Genomic DNA, 13,299 nt, shown 5'->3' with positions numbered 1-13,299 from the left:
GTTTGTTTTGTTTTGTTTTGTTTTTGTTTTTTGCTTTTCCTGGAAAAGGCTGGATGTTGCAGAAGAAACTTTTCTCTCTCTTTTCCTTTCCCCTGAGCATTCTTCCATATCTCCCACCACATGAGAGCAAACAACTGATTGGGGTAGGTAAATATAATAGCTTATTTCCATTCTATCCTTATGCTTGTAGTATGCAATATGTTTGTGCATGAATTTTGATAGTGCATATGCCATGCCTGTTATATAAAATAGACAGCAGGAAGTCAGTAAAGGTGTCAACTCTAGAAAACTGTCTCGACAAACTTCTAAGAAGAGAAGACATTATCACATCCAACTGAGAGCTTAGTTCCCCAGGGAAAATTAAGCAAATTAGGACATGGTCTGCATCCTGGAAAAGAATTGCTGATTTGATGACAATGATGATACAGCATCGATTTACAGAATAAGAACCACCAGGTGCTAAGTGGTACCTTTAAGAAGCTGAGACCCAAGAGCCAATGCAGGGCTGGCCACCGAGGTAAAAACAGTCTGAGCCAAGGAAAACACAGTATGGCAGGATTCATTGAATGGCTTTGGAGACCATTCTCCAACTTTCTGTTACTTCATAGCTTGCCATTTTTCTCAGTGGCCTATATTCATCTCCCACTCTCAACTTTTGGCACTTTGCCTTTAGTACTATATAATGTCTAGGGGCCAATAAGTTCTGCCCCTGGCTGCCCCATGAGCCTGTCCCTTAGATAGCAGAATGAAAAATCATGTATCCTGATTTTTGGAACTGACCATGCACATACCCCAGGTTTGACTCTGCTCAGCTTTGCATTATTTGTATATAACAATCACAACTGGAAGAGCAAAGCATAACATTTAAAAAAAATCTTTTAACTTCATCTCATGATTTCAGAGCCAAGTAACAAATGGGTTGCTATGAGTCTTTTTTTTTTAATTTTTTTATTTTTTGAGACAGGGTCTTACTCTGTCACCCAGGCTGGGGCACACTGATGCAATCATAACCCACTGCAACCTCAAACTCCTGGACTCAAGGGATGCTCCCACCTCAGCCTCCCAGGTAGCTGGGACTATAGGCTCACACCACCACATCTGGCTAATTTTTTTTTTTTTTTGTGGAGACAGGTGTCTCCATATGTTGCCCAGGCTGGTCTCCAGTGATCCTTCTGCCTCAGCCCCCAAGCAGCTGGGACTACAGGCATGCACCACCACGCCCAGCTAATTGTTTATTTTTAGTAGACACGAAATCTCACTATGTTGTCCAGGCTGGTCTCAAATTCCTGGGCTCAAGCAATCCTTCCACCTTGGCCTCCCGAGTACTGGGATTATAGGTGTGAGCCACCACATCTGTCCTACTATGAGTCTTAATAGCAAGTCCAATTCTGCTGTATGAGTTGAGAAGTAGCTTTGCTCTCTCTGATAGAAGAGAGATTATTCTCTGCTTATTTCCATTTCACCAACTTCAGCATTTTGGGCAAGAATTACAAGTTTAAAAAAACAATTTTAAAAGAGCAAATAATCTTCTTTCATTTCAGATGACACAATAATGCAATCACAGAGTACGTAAAAAGTTAGGCCGGGTGCTGTGGCTCATGCCTGTAATCCCAGCACTGGGAGGCCAAGGCAGGGAGATCGCTTGAGTCCAGGAGTTCAAGATCAGCATGGGCAACATAGTGAGATCTTGTGCCTATTAAAAATCAAAAACTACTTGGGCTTGGTGAAACGTGCCAGTAGTCCTAGCTACTTGAGGGGCTGAGGCAGAAGGATTGCTCGAGCCCAGGAGATCGAGGCTGCAGTAAGCTATAATCGTGCCACTGTACTCTGGCCTGAAGAACAGAGTGAGACTTGTCTCAATTAAAAATAAAAAAAGGTAGATAATGGGGAATTATCTCCTTTGTCCAAAGATAATATCATCTATCCCTAGCTAATAATTTATCTTTGGTCGAAGAGCGGGAAGGAGGGATGGGAGAAGCAGAAGGGATTGAGATACATGAAAAGTCACAATAGTGCTCTACCTTTTTTAAGTTTTGGTGGGAGAGTTTAGGTGTTTCTCATAAAGTGTCATTGATCCTTGTGAGAGATATACTGTAGTGCTCCATGCTGACCTTGAGAGTCCAGGAACTGCTAGAAACTGACAGTGAGAGGCAAGAAACTGCTTAGAACACCTGGCAAAGGGGAAGAACTGATTGACAAAGGAAGATAAGACTTGATTTGTAACTCGGTCTACACTAAACAAACAATGAGGCAAACAGCCAAAAGGCAGGATGATTTTGCTAAGGCCTTGATGAGTTACCACACTGATAAGCTGCAAGCAAAGTAGAGAACCTGCTCAGGTCTTGGGCTTCTGAGCCAGCTCTGTAATGAGATAGAATACGTTCAGAGGTCTCTCCTACGCCCCTCTAAGAATCCTGGGAGACTGATTTTCCATTTAGCTACTTGATAATAAAATTCAAGTCCTCATTTTCAGGCAGTTTAAAGAATGGGCAGTAGCTAATGTCATAGTAAAAGCCTGAAAAATGGAAACAATTAAGGAAATGATCATGAAACCGTAAAAACCATTTCCAAGATTGAATCATAAAAATGTAGGCTAAATACTTAATAGCAGTAATCGTGGTGATAAGGTTAAAAATGACTACTGCAACCAAAGAAATTTCAATTCCTACATGGATACCCTAAGAAAAATGAGGCTTTAGCCCAAAGGGAATATCAAAACTTGTTTTTAAAATATATAATCTTGTTAAGTTATTTTCTAGAAAATTTGTGGGTTTATTCTGAGTAAATTTCCCCAGAGAAACGTCTGAGGATTTAGACAGTATAAATAGGGTTGGAGCAAGAAATGAAAATGACACTCAAATTAAATAGGGGTCAAATGGAAACTCTCTGCAGGCAAAATCTTTTTCATTCCATTGGATATTCCTAGTTTCTCTGAAAGGAGTAATTTAATTTTGGGCAGGATAATGTGGGAGGTGGAAGGGTAGGGGTGGGAGAAATCCTGGTATTCTTTAATGAGGAGACTAGAAAGGGAAAGGAAGAATATAAAATCCAACTTTTGTTCCTCCATTTTGATTGTCCTAAAGCATTTCCAAATAGATAAGACCTTTTCAAGAATACTTCTCAGAAAAAAAATCACTCAGCCTTCAAATAGACCTTGACTTCAGATGACACAAAAGCTTTGGGAAGACTCTTGGGTAGTGGACTTTAATGAAAACTGAAGTGTAGTAAGTTATCTATGGGGTAGGAATAGAAATTTTCATAAATTCAATGATGTAAGTATTTTTTAGGAAAATTAAAAATTCAATATTTCAAATATTCTTTTTTTTTTTTTGAGACAGAGTCCTGCTCTGTTGCTGAGGCTGGAGTGCGGTGGCGCGATCGGGGCTCACTCCAACCTCAACCTCCCAGGCTCAGGCGATCCAACCCCGTCAGTCCCGCCAAGTAGCTGGGACTACAGGTACGAGCCACCACACCTGCCTTTTTTTTCCTTTTATTTTTCTTTTTAATTTTAGTAGAGATGTTATGTTGCTCTGTTACCCAGGCCAGTCTCAAACTCCTGGGCTCAAGTGATCCTCCTACCTCGGCATCGCAAAGTACTGGGATTATAGACATCAGCCACAACACCTGGCCTAAATATTCTTTTTTTCGGGAAAAAAAAATAGGAAAAAATGTTATAAAACATTACTACAGTATAGCAAGAAGACTATTAAAGAGAAATTTTTATGAGAAACAAGTCTTAGAGTTTAGGTTAGGAACTCAGCATGAGTCCTGTATCTGTGAGCCCCAAGGGAAGAGAGGGATCCAAAGGTATAGTTTCCTTCTATTCAAAAGAGGATACATTGTAGTGAGCATGCCCTCTGATGTTTTGGAGTGTGAGCACATCTCCATGCTGTGTAAGCCACTGTTTATAAAGCTTATTATTTGTTATGTCAGAGTTTACTGTTCTAATCAAATACAACTTGAGAAAAATTTAGTTTTAATACATTTAAGTTTTATTAACACATTATATATAGAAATATACTGCATAATAATTAGACATAAATATTAACTCTACTAATTTTTCTATTCATTTTGTCATTTCTTCAACATCTAAAACCGAGGTCAATTTTTATGATGTCCCTAATTCCAGTACCATTTTACTGTCATCCTTTTTTTTCTTCACTTTCTCATCATATAGGTGCTTCTGGTTCAGGTTTTGCCCCTCAGTATTTGGGCCCATGCCCCTGGGCTGGGGTTTTTCTCTAAGTATTTTATCCCAGCATCCCTCCTCACTCCATCCACACATACTGGAGAATTTGAGCAGCTGCTTTCTCCCTTTGCTGCTGCTCATTGTCTCAGGTGGTGAAGTCTTGAAGTGGCAGGAACTCGGGCCTGAAATTAAACTGCAGACTTTTAACAGAAGGGCAACAGTTACATGACAAAGTTGTAGGTGAGGAAGAGAGCAGCTAGGGAGGCAGAAAGGAAAATGAGGAGGGAAGGAGGGAATGGGCCTGGTGAGAATAGGCTGGAGCTTCCTGGAGACCTTAGATTCTGCTCTAAATTATATTAAAGTGGCAGTGACAGCCCAGCACCAGGAGACCAAAGCAAGCAAGAGGAGATGTGCCATAATAAGAAATAGATATATTTGGTCTCTCCTCCTATTTCCTGGCTCGAGGCTCCTAAAATGCTTGGACTCTCCTAAGTGACAGGTGTCTTTTTGTGTGCTAATGAGATCACTAGGGGGTCCTGGAAAGCTTTGGGATGCTAGCTGGTTGCCACAGGAACCAACCTAGTGATTACAGGTTTGGAAATTTCAACCTCATCCCCTCATCTCTCGGGAGGGGAGAGGATAGGGGCTGAAGGTTGACTCAGTCACTGATGGCCAGTGATTTATCAATCATGCCTGTGTAGTGAAGCCACCATAAAACCTCCAAGGATAGGTTTGGAAGATTTCCAGGTTGCTGAATATGTGGAGGTGCAGGGAGGCCGGCACACCAGAGAAGGTGTGGAAGCTCCGTGCCCTTCACATGTGCCCTGCCCTGGGCATCTCTTCCATCTGGCTGTTCATCTGTATCCTTTGAAATATCCTTTATAATAGACCAGTAAATGCAAGTAAATATCTCCCTGGTAAACTGGTAAACATAAGTCAATTTTTCCCTGAATTATGTGAGCCACTCTAGCAAATGATCAAACCTGAGGAAGGAGTCGTGTGAACCTCTGATCTGTAGCTTCTCGGTCAGGAGCACAGGTGCCAACCCGGAGCTTGTGATTGGCATCTGAATTTGGGGGAAGTCTTGTGGGACTGAGCCCTTAACCTGTAGGACCCAAACTAACTCCAGTTAATGTCAGAATTGAGTTAAATTGTAGGACACCTAATTGGTGTCAGACAATTGGTCAATGTGGAGAAAACCCCACACACATTTTGGTGACTGAAAATGTCCTGTGTGTTGAGAGCATAGTAGGAGAAAACAGTTTGCTTTCCTATTGTTCAAGATACCTCTTTGGAACTGTAATGGATGATGTTATATGTCACCCAGATCTCCTTCACGGCTTAAACCCCATTCCCTCCAGATGCCAGGAGATCAGGAGCAGACTCACTCAAAGGGTGAGTTAACTGGGTTGTATGCTGGGAGCCTATTGTTTTCCTATCTGGCCTTGTTAAGCCATTTGTCTGGTACTGCTAAGGGAAGCCATAGGGCTTGCTCATACACCTGCTTTGCATTTTGGTTAAGATCATGTTTTGAGTTGGTTTTGACTCTGTTTTGCCTAAATGCACTCCCCCTTGTGTTGTTCAAAATTTGCCTCCACTTATTTGTGTATCTGTCTTATTCCCTTTCATATCACGTAAACTTGAAAATGGGAGGTATTGGGTCCATTCCTGTTGAGAGGCCTCTGGGAAGGAAAAATATTTTTTAGAAGCTCAATGATTGAGAGTCAGCTTAACTAAAAGCTAACATCCAAGATATCTTTATGTATGTGTGTATGTGTGCATGTTTGTATTTAAAAGGCCTTCATGTTTTTGTTTTTGTTTTTGTTTTTATTTCTCTCCTAGGATCTTGTCGTTTTGAGCAAAAGTTTTTATTTTTCTTTTCAGTTGACTGAATTGTGTTTTCTTCATTAATAGCTATTACAACAGAAGCTACTCTGGGGTTTTTAAGAAAAAGTGTAATTTAGACACTTAGAAATGACTTTGTTTGGAAAAAAAGGTTTTTTTAAGTGCACTGTAAAAGCACCACATGGTCTAGCCCCATAATAATTCTCCCTTTTTGCAAACCCAGGATTCAGTGTTGGCTCTGCCCAGAGCTCAAAGATCCAGTTAAAAGATAGGGAAAAGGAGGTCTTATGAATCTATAAAATGTACTTCTATTGGCATGCCTAATATGTCTATGTATTTATGTCTTGTGTACACCATGTTTCACTACTGAAAATATATAAAAGAGTTCTAATTAATTGGCTCAAAGAAAAATAAAAGTGCTTAAATACTTCAACAGAAAAAGGAAAGACTAGTCAAATGCTTTCTCAAGTTTATATGACTTAAGTAAAATCTTTAATGAATAAGCTAGCTTTAAAAATTATTGGTGAAGTAATGGCTGGGCACGGTGGCTCACGTCTGTAATCCCAGCACTTTAGGAGGCCGAGGCGGGCAGATCACCTGAAGTCAGGAGTTCAAGAGCAGCCTGGCCAACTTGGTGAAATCCTGTCTCTACTAAAATATTTTAAAAATTAGCCGGGCATGGTGGTGGGCACCTGTAATCCCAGCTACTTGGGAGGCTGAGTAGGAGAATTGCTTGAACCCAGGAGGCGGAGGTTGCAGTGAGCCAAGATCTTGCCACTTGCACTCCAGCCTGGGTGACAGAGTGAGACTCCATCTCAAAAAAAAATAAATTATTGGTGAAGTAATATTAGAAATGTCTTAAGAGTTGCCAGCATACATTTTTGTTTGCATTTATTGATCAAGCAACTTTGTACTTAGCTCTGTCAAATACTATAAGGTGTCAAAATTTGGCGTAGAGGCTACAAAACTATAACTCAGCCCAAAACAGAATGATCTTTGCTGGTTTTTAATAAATAAAATGTTTTTTAAATAAATAAAACATTATTTTATTTATAGCTTGTTTTTAATAAATATAATGTTTTTAATAAAACATTAATATTGGTTTAATGAAGATAGCTACATCTTGAATTATTTAGTAAAATACCCTAATCTTGTGGCCTTAGGCAGTCTATTCCACAGACATAAAGAAAGTTCATCCTGGGAAAGGACTGTTATCATCTCTGTTTCAAAACTAAACTATGACCTTAGTTAATGAATAAGAATAGCTTTAAGGTAAGAAGTAAGATGGAGTCAGTTAGGTCAGATCATTTTCACTCTCTCAGTTATAATTTTGCATTGGTGATTTCATAACTTTTAATGATGACTATCACAGTTTTCATAAATAACATAGGTAAATGATTAAAATAAATAATTAGATAAATGTAATGGGACAAATATTTGCAGAATCCAAAGTTATATTAAATTAAACAACAGATATTTCATTATTTAGGTATTTTCCAATTAAAATATATTGTAGGAAAACATTCATTCTAAAAATTGTGTCCTTTTTAAAGGGTAAATAATTTTTGTCTAATTCAAAGCTTATTTAAAGGTTTTTTATATATAAAACAAGGTAAAAGGAACCAGGAAATAAGAGAGATATAAAGTAAGTTGTAAAAATAAAGAGAGTTTTAAAGTCTATTGGTAAAATAAAAATATCTTCAAAAATGTAAACATTTGGTCTAAATTATGCAGGTCAAATATTAAGTTTGCTAAATGCTTTAGGTCATAAACTTTTTTTGACTTAAAAAATTGTTCAATTTATTTTGGAGTGTTAAATTCTAGATAAGCCCTCAGGACACATGAAATTAGCCATGCCCCTAGCTATGCAAAAAGGTATTAAAGAAAAGATATTTTATATAATGAAGGATCTTGTGTGGTAAATTCTTGTCCTAAAGTAAAATAACTGGTTGTTTAAAAAGAGGGATGTGGCCGGGCGCAGTGGCTCACGCCTGTAATCCCAGCACTTTGGAAGGCTGAGGAGGGCAGATCACGAGGTCAGGAGTTTGAGACCAGCCTGGCCAATATGGTGAAACCCCATCTCTACTAAAAATACCAAAATTAGCTGGGCGTGGTGGCACGCACCTGTGGTCCCAACTACTCAGGAAGCTGAGGCAGAAGAATCGCTTGAACCTGGGAGGCAGAGGTTACAGTGAGCCGAGATCATGCCACTGCACTCCAGCCTGGGTGACAGAGCGAGACTCCATCTCAAAAAAAAAAAAAAAAAAAAAGAGGGATGTTTAGGACAAGTCAGAAAGTCAAGTCAAGGCATGTCATAGCTTGTCTGTGTAGTCATGAAAGAATTTATGAAAGGGAATTTATGAAAGGAAAGAAATGTACAGTTTGAAGGTGATTAGGCCTCCTGAATGTTTTATAAAAATGCCACTAAGACTCTTAGCTGTACAACTTGCCTGGTGTACAGCTAGGTAAGGCCTGGGACACATGGAGTTTGAAACTGGAATAAGTCGGACCTTATCTGCATTTCTGCCTAGGTCCAAGGCTCCACACCTAGTACATAATTAAAATCCCAAACTTACCAAGGTTTTCACCAAAAGTAAAGGTTGCTAAAAGTTAACAGTGTAACATATATTTAAAACTATTGAAGAAACAGTTTACATGCAAGGTGTGTAAGGAAAGCAAAATATACTTCTAGTAAAAAGATTATAAGGAGTCATGAGAATGTGGATTTTTGCCTAGATTAAAAGGTTAAAGGACTGTTTTAAGTTGGATAAAATAAAGAGGAAGATTTAAACAAGTTGTGGAAGGTTGATTATAAAGGAAATTTTGTGTGTAAACATATTGGCCAAAGTTAAAGGGGTATCATCCAGTTTTTCTGTAAATTGAACATTAAAATAAAAGCACAGTGGGTTTCTCTTAAAGCACTAACCTGCTCTTTAACAAAAATTGTAAAGGGTTATAAAAGGTCTATACAAAATCTTACCTTATGGTCAAACATTAAAATTGGGTAAATCTGTCTATAAGGATTTGTTAAGAATTGGGTTTAACATTAATAGCACACTAACGTAAAGGTGAAATTTGGTTTATTTGGTATAAATATTATACAGAAAGCATTGTCAAATATGAAATGGTGTTTGGCTTTCTTTGGGCTATATTTGTATAAGTATGTTATTTGTATGTGTTCCAAAGTTATGGGAGACTCCTATAATTCTGATACATCTTAGTGTATGTTATGAGTAATAATTATAATTGTTGTGTTAAATTATTGTGTGCCACAGAGGTAACAGATATCCTTGTCAATTGTGTGTTTAACTATGGCTACCCTAAAACTTTTTGTCATCCATAATCAATTGTTGTCTTGTTTTGGTCCTCTGTAGAAGGTGATTTTATAATCAGCTATAAAGCTCTAACAGGTGCTCTTGAATGCAGGTTTCTGATAACTTTGGAGATGTGACATCAGAATAGAGGAAAAACGTTCAGGACTCTTGAAGAGTTAAAATATTCATTAGTATCAAGCAGGACAGGAATTAACTGCATGAACTGAACTAATAGGAGACTGAAGTGATCTTTTTGACTTTTTGCTTAAAATGTTGCTAATCCTTTGTTTTGCTTTTCAGAGTCAAGGAGACTTTTGAGCTATTGACAGCTTTTAACAATTAAGTAAAGTATACTCCTATGAACAAAATTTGGAGCATATTTGTTTCTCTCTACCTGATTCCAAAATTTGGAAACTATTTGCGAGTATTCTTAATTTATGGCAATATAGTTATTTGCATAAGTGCAACAAGAATCTGTTTTCTTTCGTAAGAGGACACAGTTGGAAAAACTGGTTATTTTACCAAGGGCTTTGACTGGAATGGTATGCTCTCCTTTAAGGAATCAAACTTGACTTATGGAGCCAATAAAGCCCTTGGAAAACTGGCCTCATATTTTGCATACACAGTCCCTGTACAGGGTTTCTGATCTGTGGTAAGCAAACAATGTCACTTTCCAAGAGGCCAGGAACCCCAAGTTATCTTGGAACCTCAAGAGGAGAGGAATTCACCCAATTCATAGGTATTTGATGGTACAAATCCATGGCTGGGCTTGGCTTTAAAAAGGTCTCATCTTAGATTCCTTCTATGGAACAAAGTTCCATCAAAGCCAATATAAAAGACCTATGTGAAAATAATTATTCTTGCTGCACTTTATACAAATAATCTGGCCAAATATAATAAAGCATACCAGTCCTACCATGAAGAGAGAAAAATTATGTTTCAAAACTATAGTATACCTGTTAAATTCTAGTCTTGCCTGATTTTTTCAGTTTTTATTGTTTTCTACAGTTTGGATTAAATTCTAATTTTTTGGCTACAGGTCTCCAAAATAATGTTTTCAATTTTTCCCTTTTTCTTTTCCTTTTCCCCCATTCTTCCTAATTGGAAATCACTGAAACCTGAGCTGTGCTTTCGTAAAGCCCTGCAAACTTAAGACTAGACAACTTAAACTTTAGAAGAAAACAGCAGCAACCTCTTTATATGTGTTGCTGTTGCATACTATTCTAGGCCCCCGAAATAGAGCCAATAGAGGGAACAAATCAACCACCTCCACTCCAGCACTGCATTCAGTCCCCATAATGATGACCCTCTCTCAGCAGGAAGTAGCCAGAAAGATTATGATGCCCCATATCCCTATGATCTTGTGATAAATAAATATACAAGCATGATAGAAATCATGCACAAATTGACAGTGGTGATTGTGGCAGGCCAGGTCTCACTAATGCAGGCCTGCATTACAACAACTGTCCCAGCTCTGACTGAGTAGCTAGGTTAAACATTAAAAGCTGATTGAGCCAGTGCCCTTATACAAAGGCTGGAATGTAACAAAGAGCCCACCAAGAGTTTTGCCTAGGCTTTTCATGGGCCTTGAAGTTTGACAAGATAATGAAGGAATTCTTAACAGGACCCTTTTAGGATTAAACAAGTTTTATTGGGGGGTCTGAAGAAACTCCTCGGGCCTCCACAAACAAGTTTATTGAGATCTAAAGGAACTCCCCAAACCTCCATGATTTAGCAGGAGACAAGATAAGGGTAATCACCCCAGCACCTAGACCCATTTAGATTAAGTAAACTTACTGAGGCTCTAGAAGGTCTTCAGGACTCAGACCTTAGTTATAGATTAAAAGAAGTTAATCACTTATGTCTTTAGATTAATTCACTCAGTTACACATAGACATATAGCTTAGAAGGTATATAAGCTCTGGAAAACTTTGTAATTTTGAGTTGGTCTGGCAATAATTTCCAGGCCTTCTCCCTGTAACTGGTTACAGAAATACTCTCTTCGTCCCCAGTTCATCTGCATCTCATTATTGGGCCACGAGAAATAGCAGCCCAACCCCCATATTGGTTCAGGAACAATGCCAAGAGCATGCTGTAATCCCCTCTATACAGTAGTCCCCCTTATCTTCATAGAATACATTCCAAGAACTTCAGTGGAGCCTAAAGCTGCAGATAGTACCAGACCCTATATATATTTTCTTTTTATACATACGTACCTCTGATAAAATTTTTTTAATAAGGTTCAGCTAACAGATTAACAATAATAACTAATAATAAAATAGAACAATTATACTACAGTAAAATCATACGCATGTGGTCTCTCTCGCTCCTTCAAAATATCCCATTGTTCTGTATTCCTGTGGCAACAGCTTCTTCATTAGCAGACACAGCCTCTCTAGTAATTTATATATTTTTCAGTCCAAACCTATTCCTGAATCTGTTAACTATCCCTTACTTGCAATAAATGGCTTGGTGTCACTCGTTTCAGGGGATCCCTTGCTGTAGGGATCAATGCTTGTCTTCATACAGGCTCAATGCTTTCTGGTGCAACGTGTTGCCAATCAAAACACATTTCTTTTAATGTCTCCCACCTGCAAACTGAATGCCTTTTTCATCTTAACTAAGCACTTATCATACTCTATGGCCATGACGTTTACAGTTTGAGGTGCTGTAACCAGCACAAATATATTTTTCTTTACAAATTCACGGGTAAAAGATTTGTTCTTATAAATTTTGTTAATTTCAGCAATTTTTTTTTCTTTCCTTGTTAAGTCAAGAACTTTCACCTTTTCACTTAAGTGAAGCACTTTATAGCTTCTCTTTGGCATATACGAATTGCCAGCATCACTACTCTCGCACATTGGGACCATTATTAAGTAAAATAAGGATTACTCGAACACAAGCACTGCGATACTGCAACAATCTGATAGCCAAGATGGCTACAAAGTGACTAACGGATGGGGAACGTGTACGGCGTGGGTACGGGGGACAAAGGGATGATTCACATCCTGGGTGGGACAGAGCAGGACAGCTTGAAAGTTTACACCCTACTGAGAACGTCACACAATTTAAAACTTATTATTTATTTCTGGTGTTTTCTATTTAATATTTTTGGACTGCAGTTTACCATAGATAACTAAAACTGCAGAAAGCAAAAGTACCAATAAGGAGTGACTACTGTACACCAGTCTTCATCTCAGAGTCTGTTTCCAGGGAAGCCCACCCTGAGGGAATGAGTGTTCACATCTATAAAATACAGGGGTTATGCTATCAGAAGCATGAGTCAACAAAAGAAAAATAGATTGTACTTCAAAATGAAAAGCCTTTGTAATTTTACCTGGAAATGGCTGGAGGTGATGATTGCACGGCAACTGACTGTACTTAATGCCACTGAACTGTGCTCTTGAAAATGGATAAAATAGTAAATTTATGTTATGTCTAATTTTACCACAATAAAAATTAATTAATTTTAAAAATACAGGAGTAAGGTTGGATGTGCTTTTGGTTTCCTGCCCATGCTAAAGGTCCACAATTACTCTGAGTTACTTGGCAGCCAAATCTGGGTTGGTGTGATTTCAGGGGCTAGACTGTAGCATTTCTCAATCTTGGCTGTGTATTAGAATCACTTTGGATTTAAAAAAAAATGATGCTTCAGTTCTGCCCATAGTAGTTCCTGTGTAATAGTCTAGGGTCATGGCTTTGGTATTTTTAAAAGCTCCCAGTGATTCCAGTATGCAAACGCAGTTGAGCCTTACTGGGCTAGAAGAACCACAGCCCACTCCTTACCACCCACTTGCTGTTGCCCCTGAGATTTGGCCACCTGCTTATCCTTCCAGCCTCATCTTTCTGACTCCCTCCTACACATACCCAAGCTGCAGCTGAACCAAATGACTTGTCATTTATCCTCTCCTGTCAAACCCTGACTCCTATTCCCTTGCTCATGTTTCCGCT

At 38.6% G+C, this 13,299-nt stretch overlaps 1 protein-coding gene and 1 long non-coding RNA gene across 4 annotated transcripts in view, besides 1 other annotated feature; one reads left to right on the top strand and one right to left on the bottom strand.

Annotated features, from left to right (window-relative positions):
• Positions 1-13,299, top strand: part of NEMP2 (nuclear envelope integral membrane protein 2) — a 227,365-nt gene that overhangs the window by 28,329 nt on the left and 185,737 nt on the right. The window lies entirely within an intron of this gene.
• NEMP2-DT (NEMP2 divergent transcript) overlaps positions 1-13,299 on the bottom strand; it is a 104,691-nt gene that overhangs the window by 19,072 nt on the left and 72,320 nt on the right. The window contains exon 4 of one of the 3 annotated variants that reach the window (NR_183904.1): positions 3,970-4,371. The exons of the other annotated variants lie outside the window; for them this stretch is intronic. This is a non-coding gene — a long non-coding RNA (NEMP2 divergent transcript). Of the gene's footprint in view, positions 1-3,969; positions 4,372-13,299 lie in introns of those variants that run through there. 3 annotated transcript variants of the gene reach the window in all.
• Positions 11,668-12,867: an enhancer, noted in NCBI's record as "MED14-independent group 3 enhancer chr2:191472316-191473515 (GRCh37/hg19 assembly coordinates)". NCBI's record gives its function as "activates an origin of replication core promoter dependent on BRD2, BRD4, P300/CBP and CDK7 cofactors, and independent of MED14, by STARR-seq in HCT116 cells {active_cell/tissue: HCT116}" and the evidence as "EXISTENCE:reporter gene assay evidence [ECO:0000049][PMID:35650434]".

Source organism: Homo sapiens, chromosome 2, assembly GCF_000001405.40.
Source record: "Homo sapiens chromosome 2, GRCh38.p14 Primary Assembly".
Classification (NCBI taxonomy): Eukaryota; Metazoa; Chordata; class Mammalia; order Primates; family Hominidae; genus Homo; species Homo sapiens.
The sequence above is the reverse complement of the archived record's forward strand: the minus strand, read 5'-3'. Positions and strand labels throughout refer to the sequence as shown.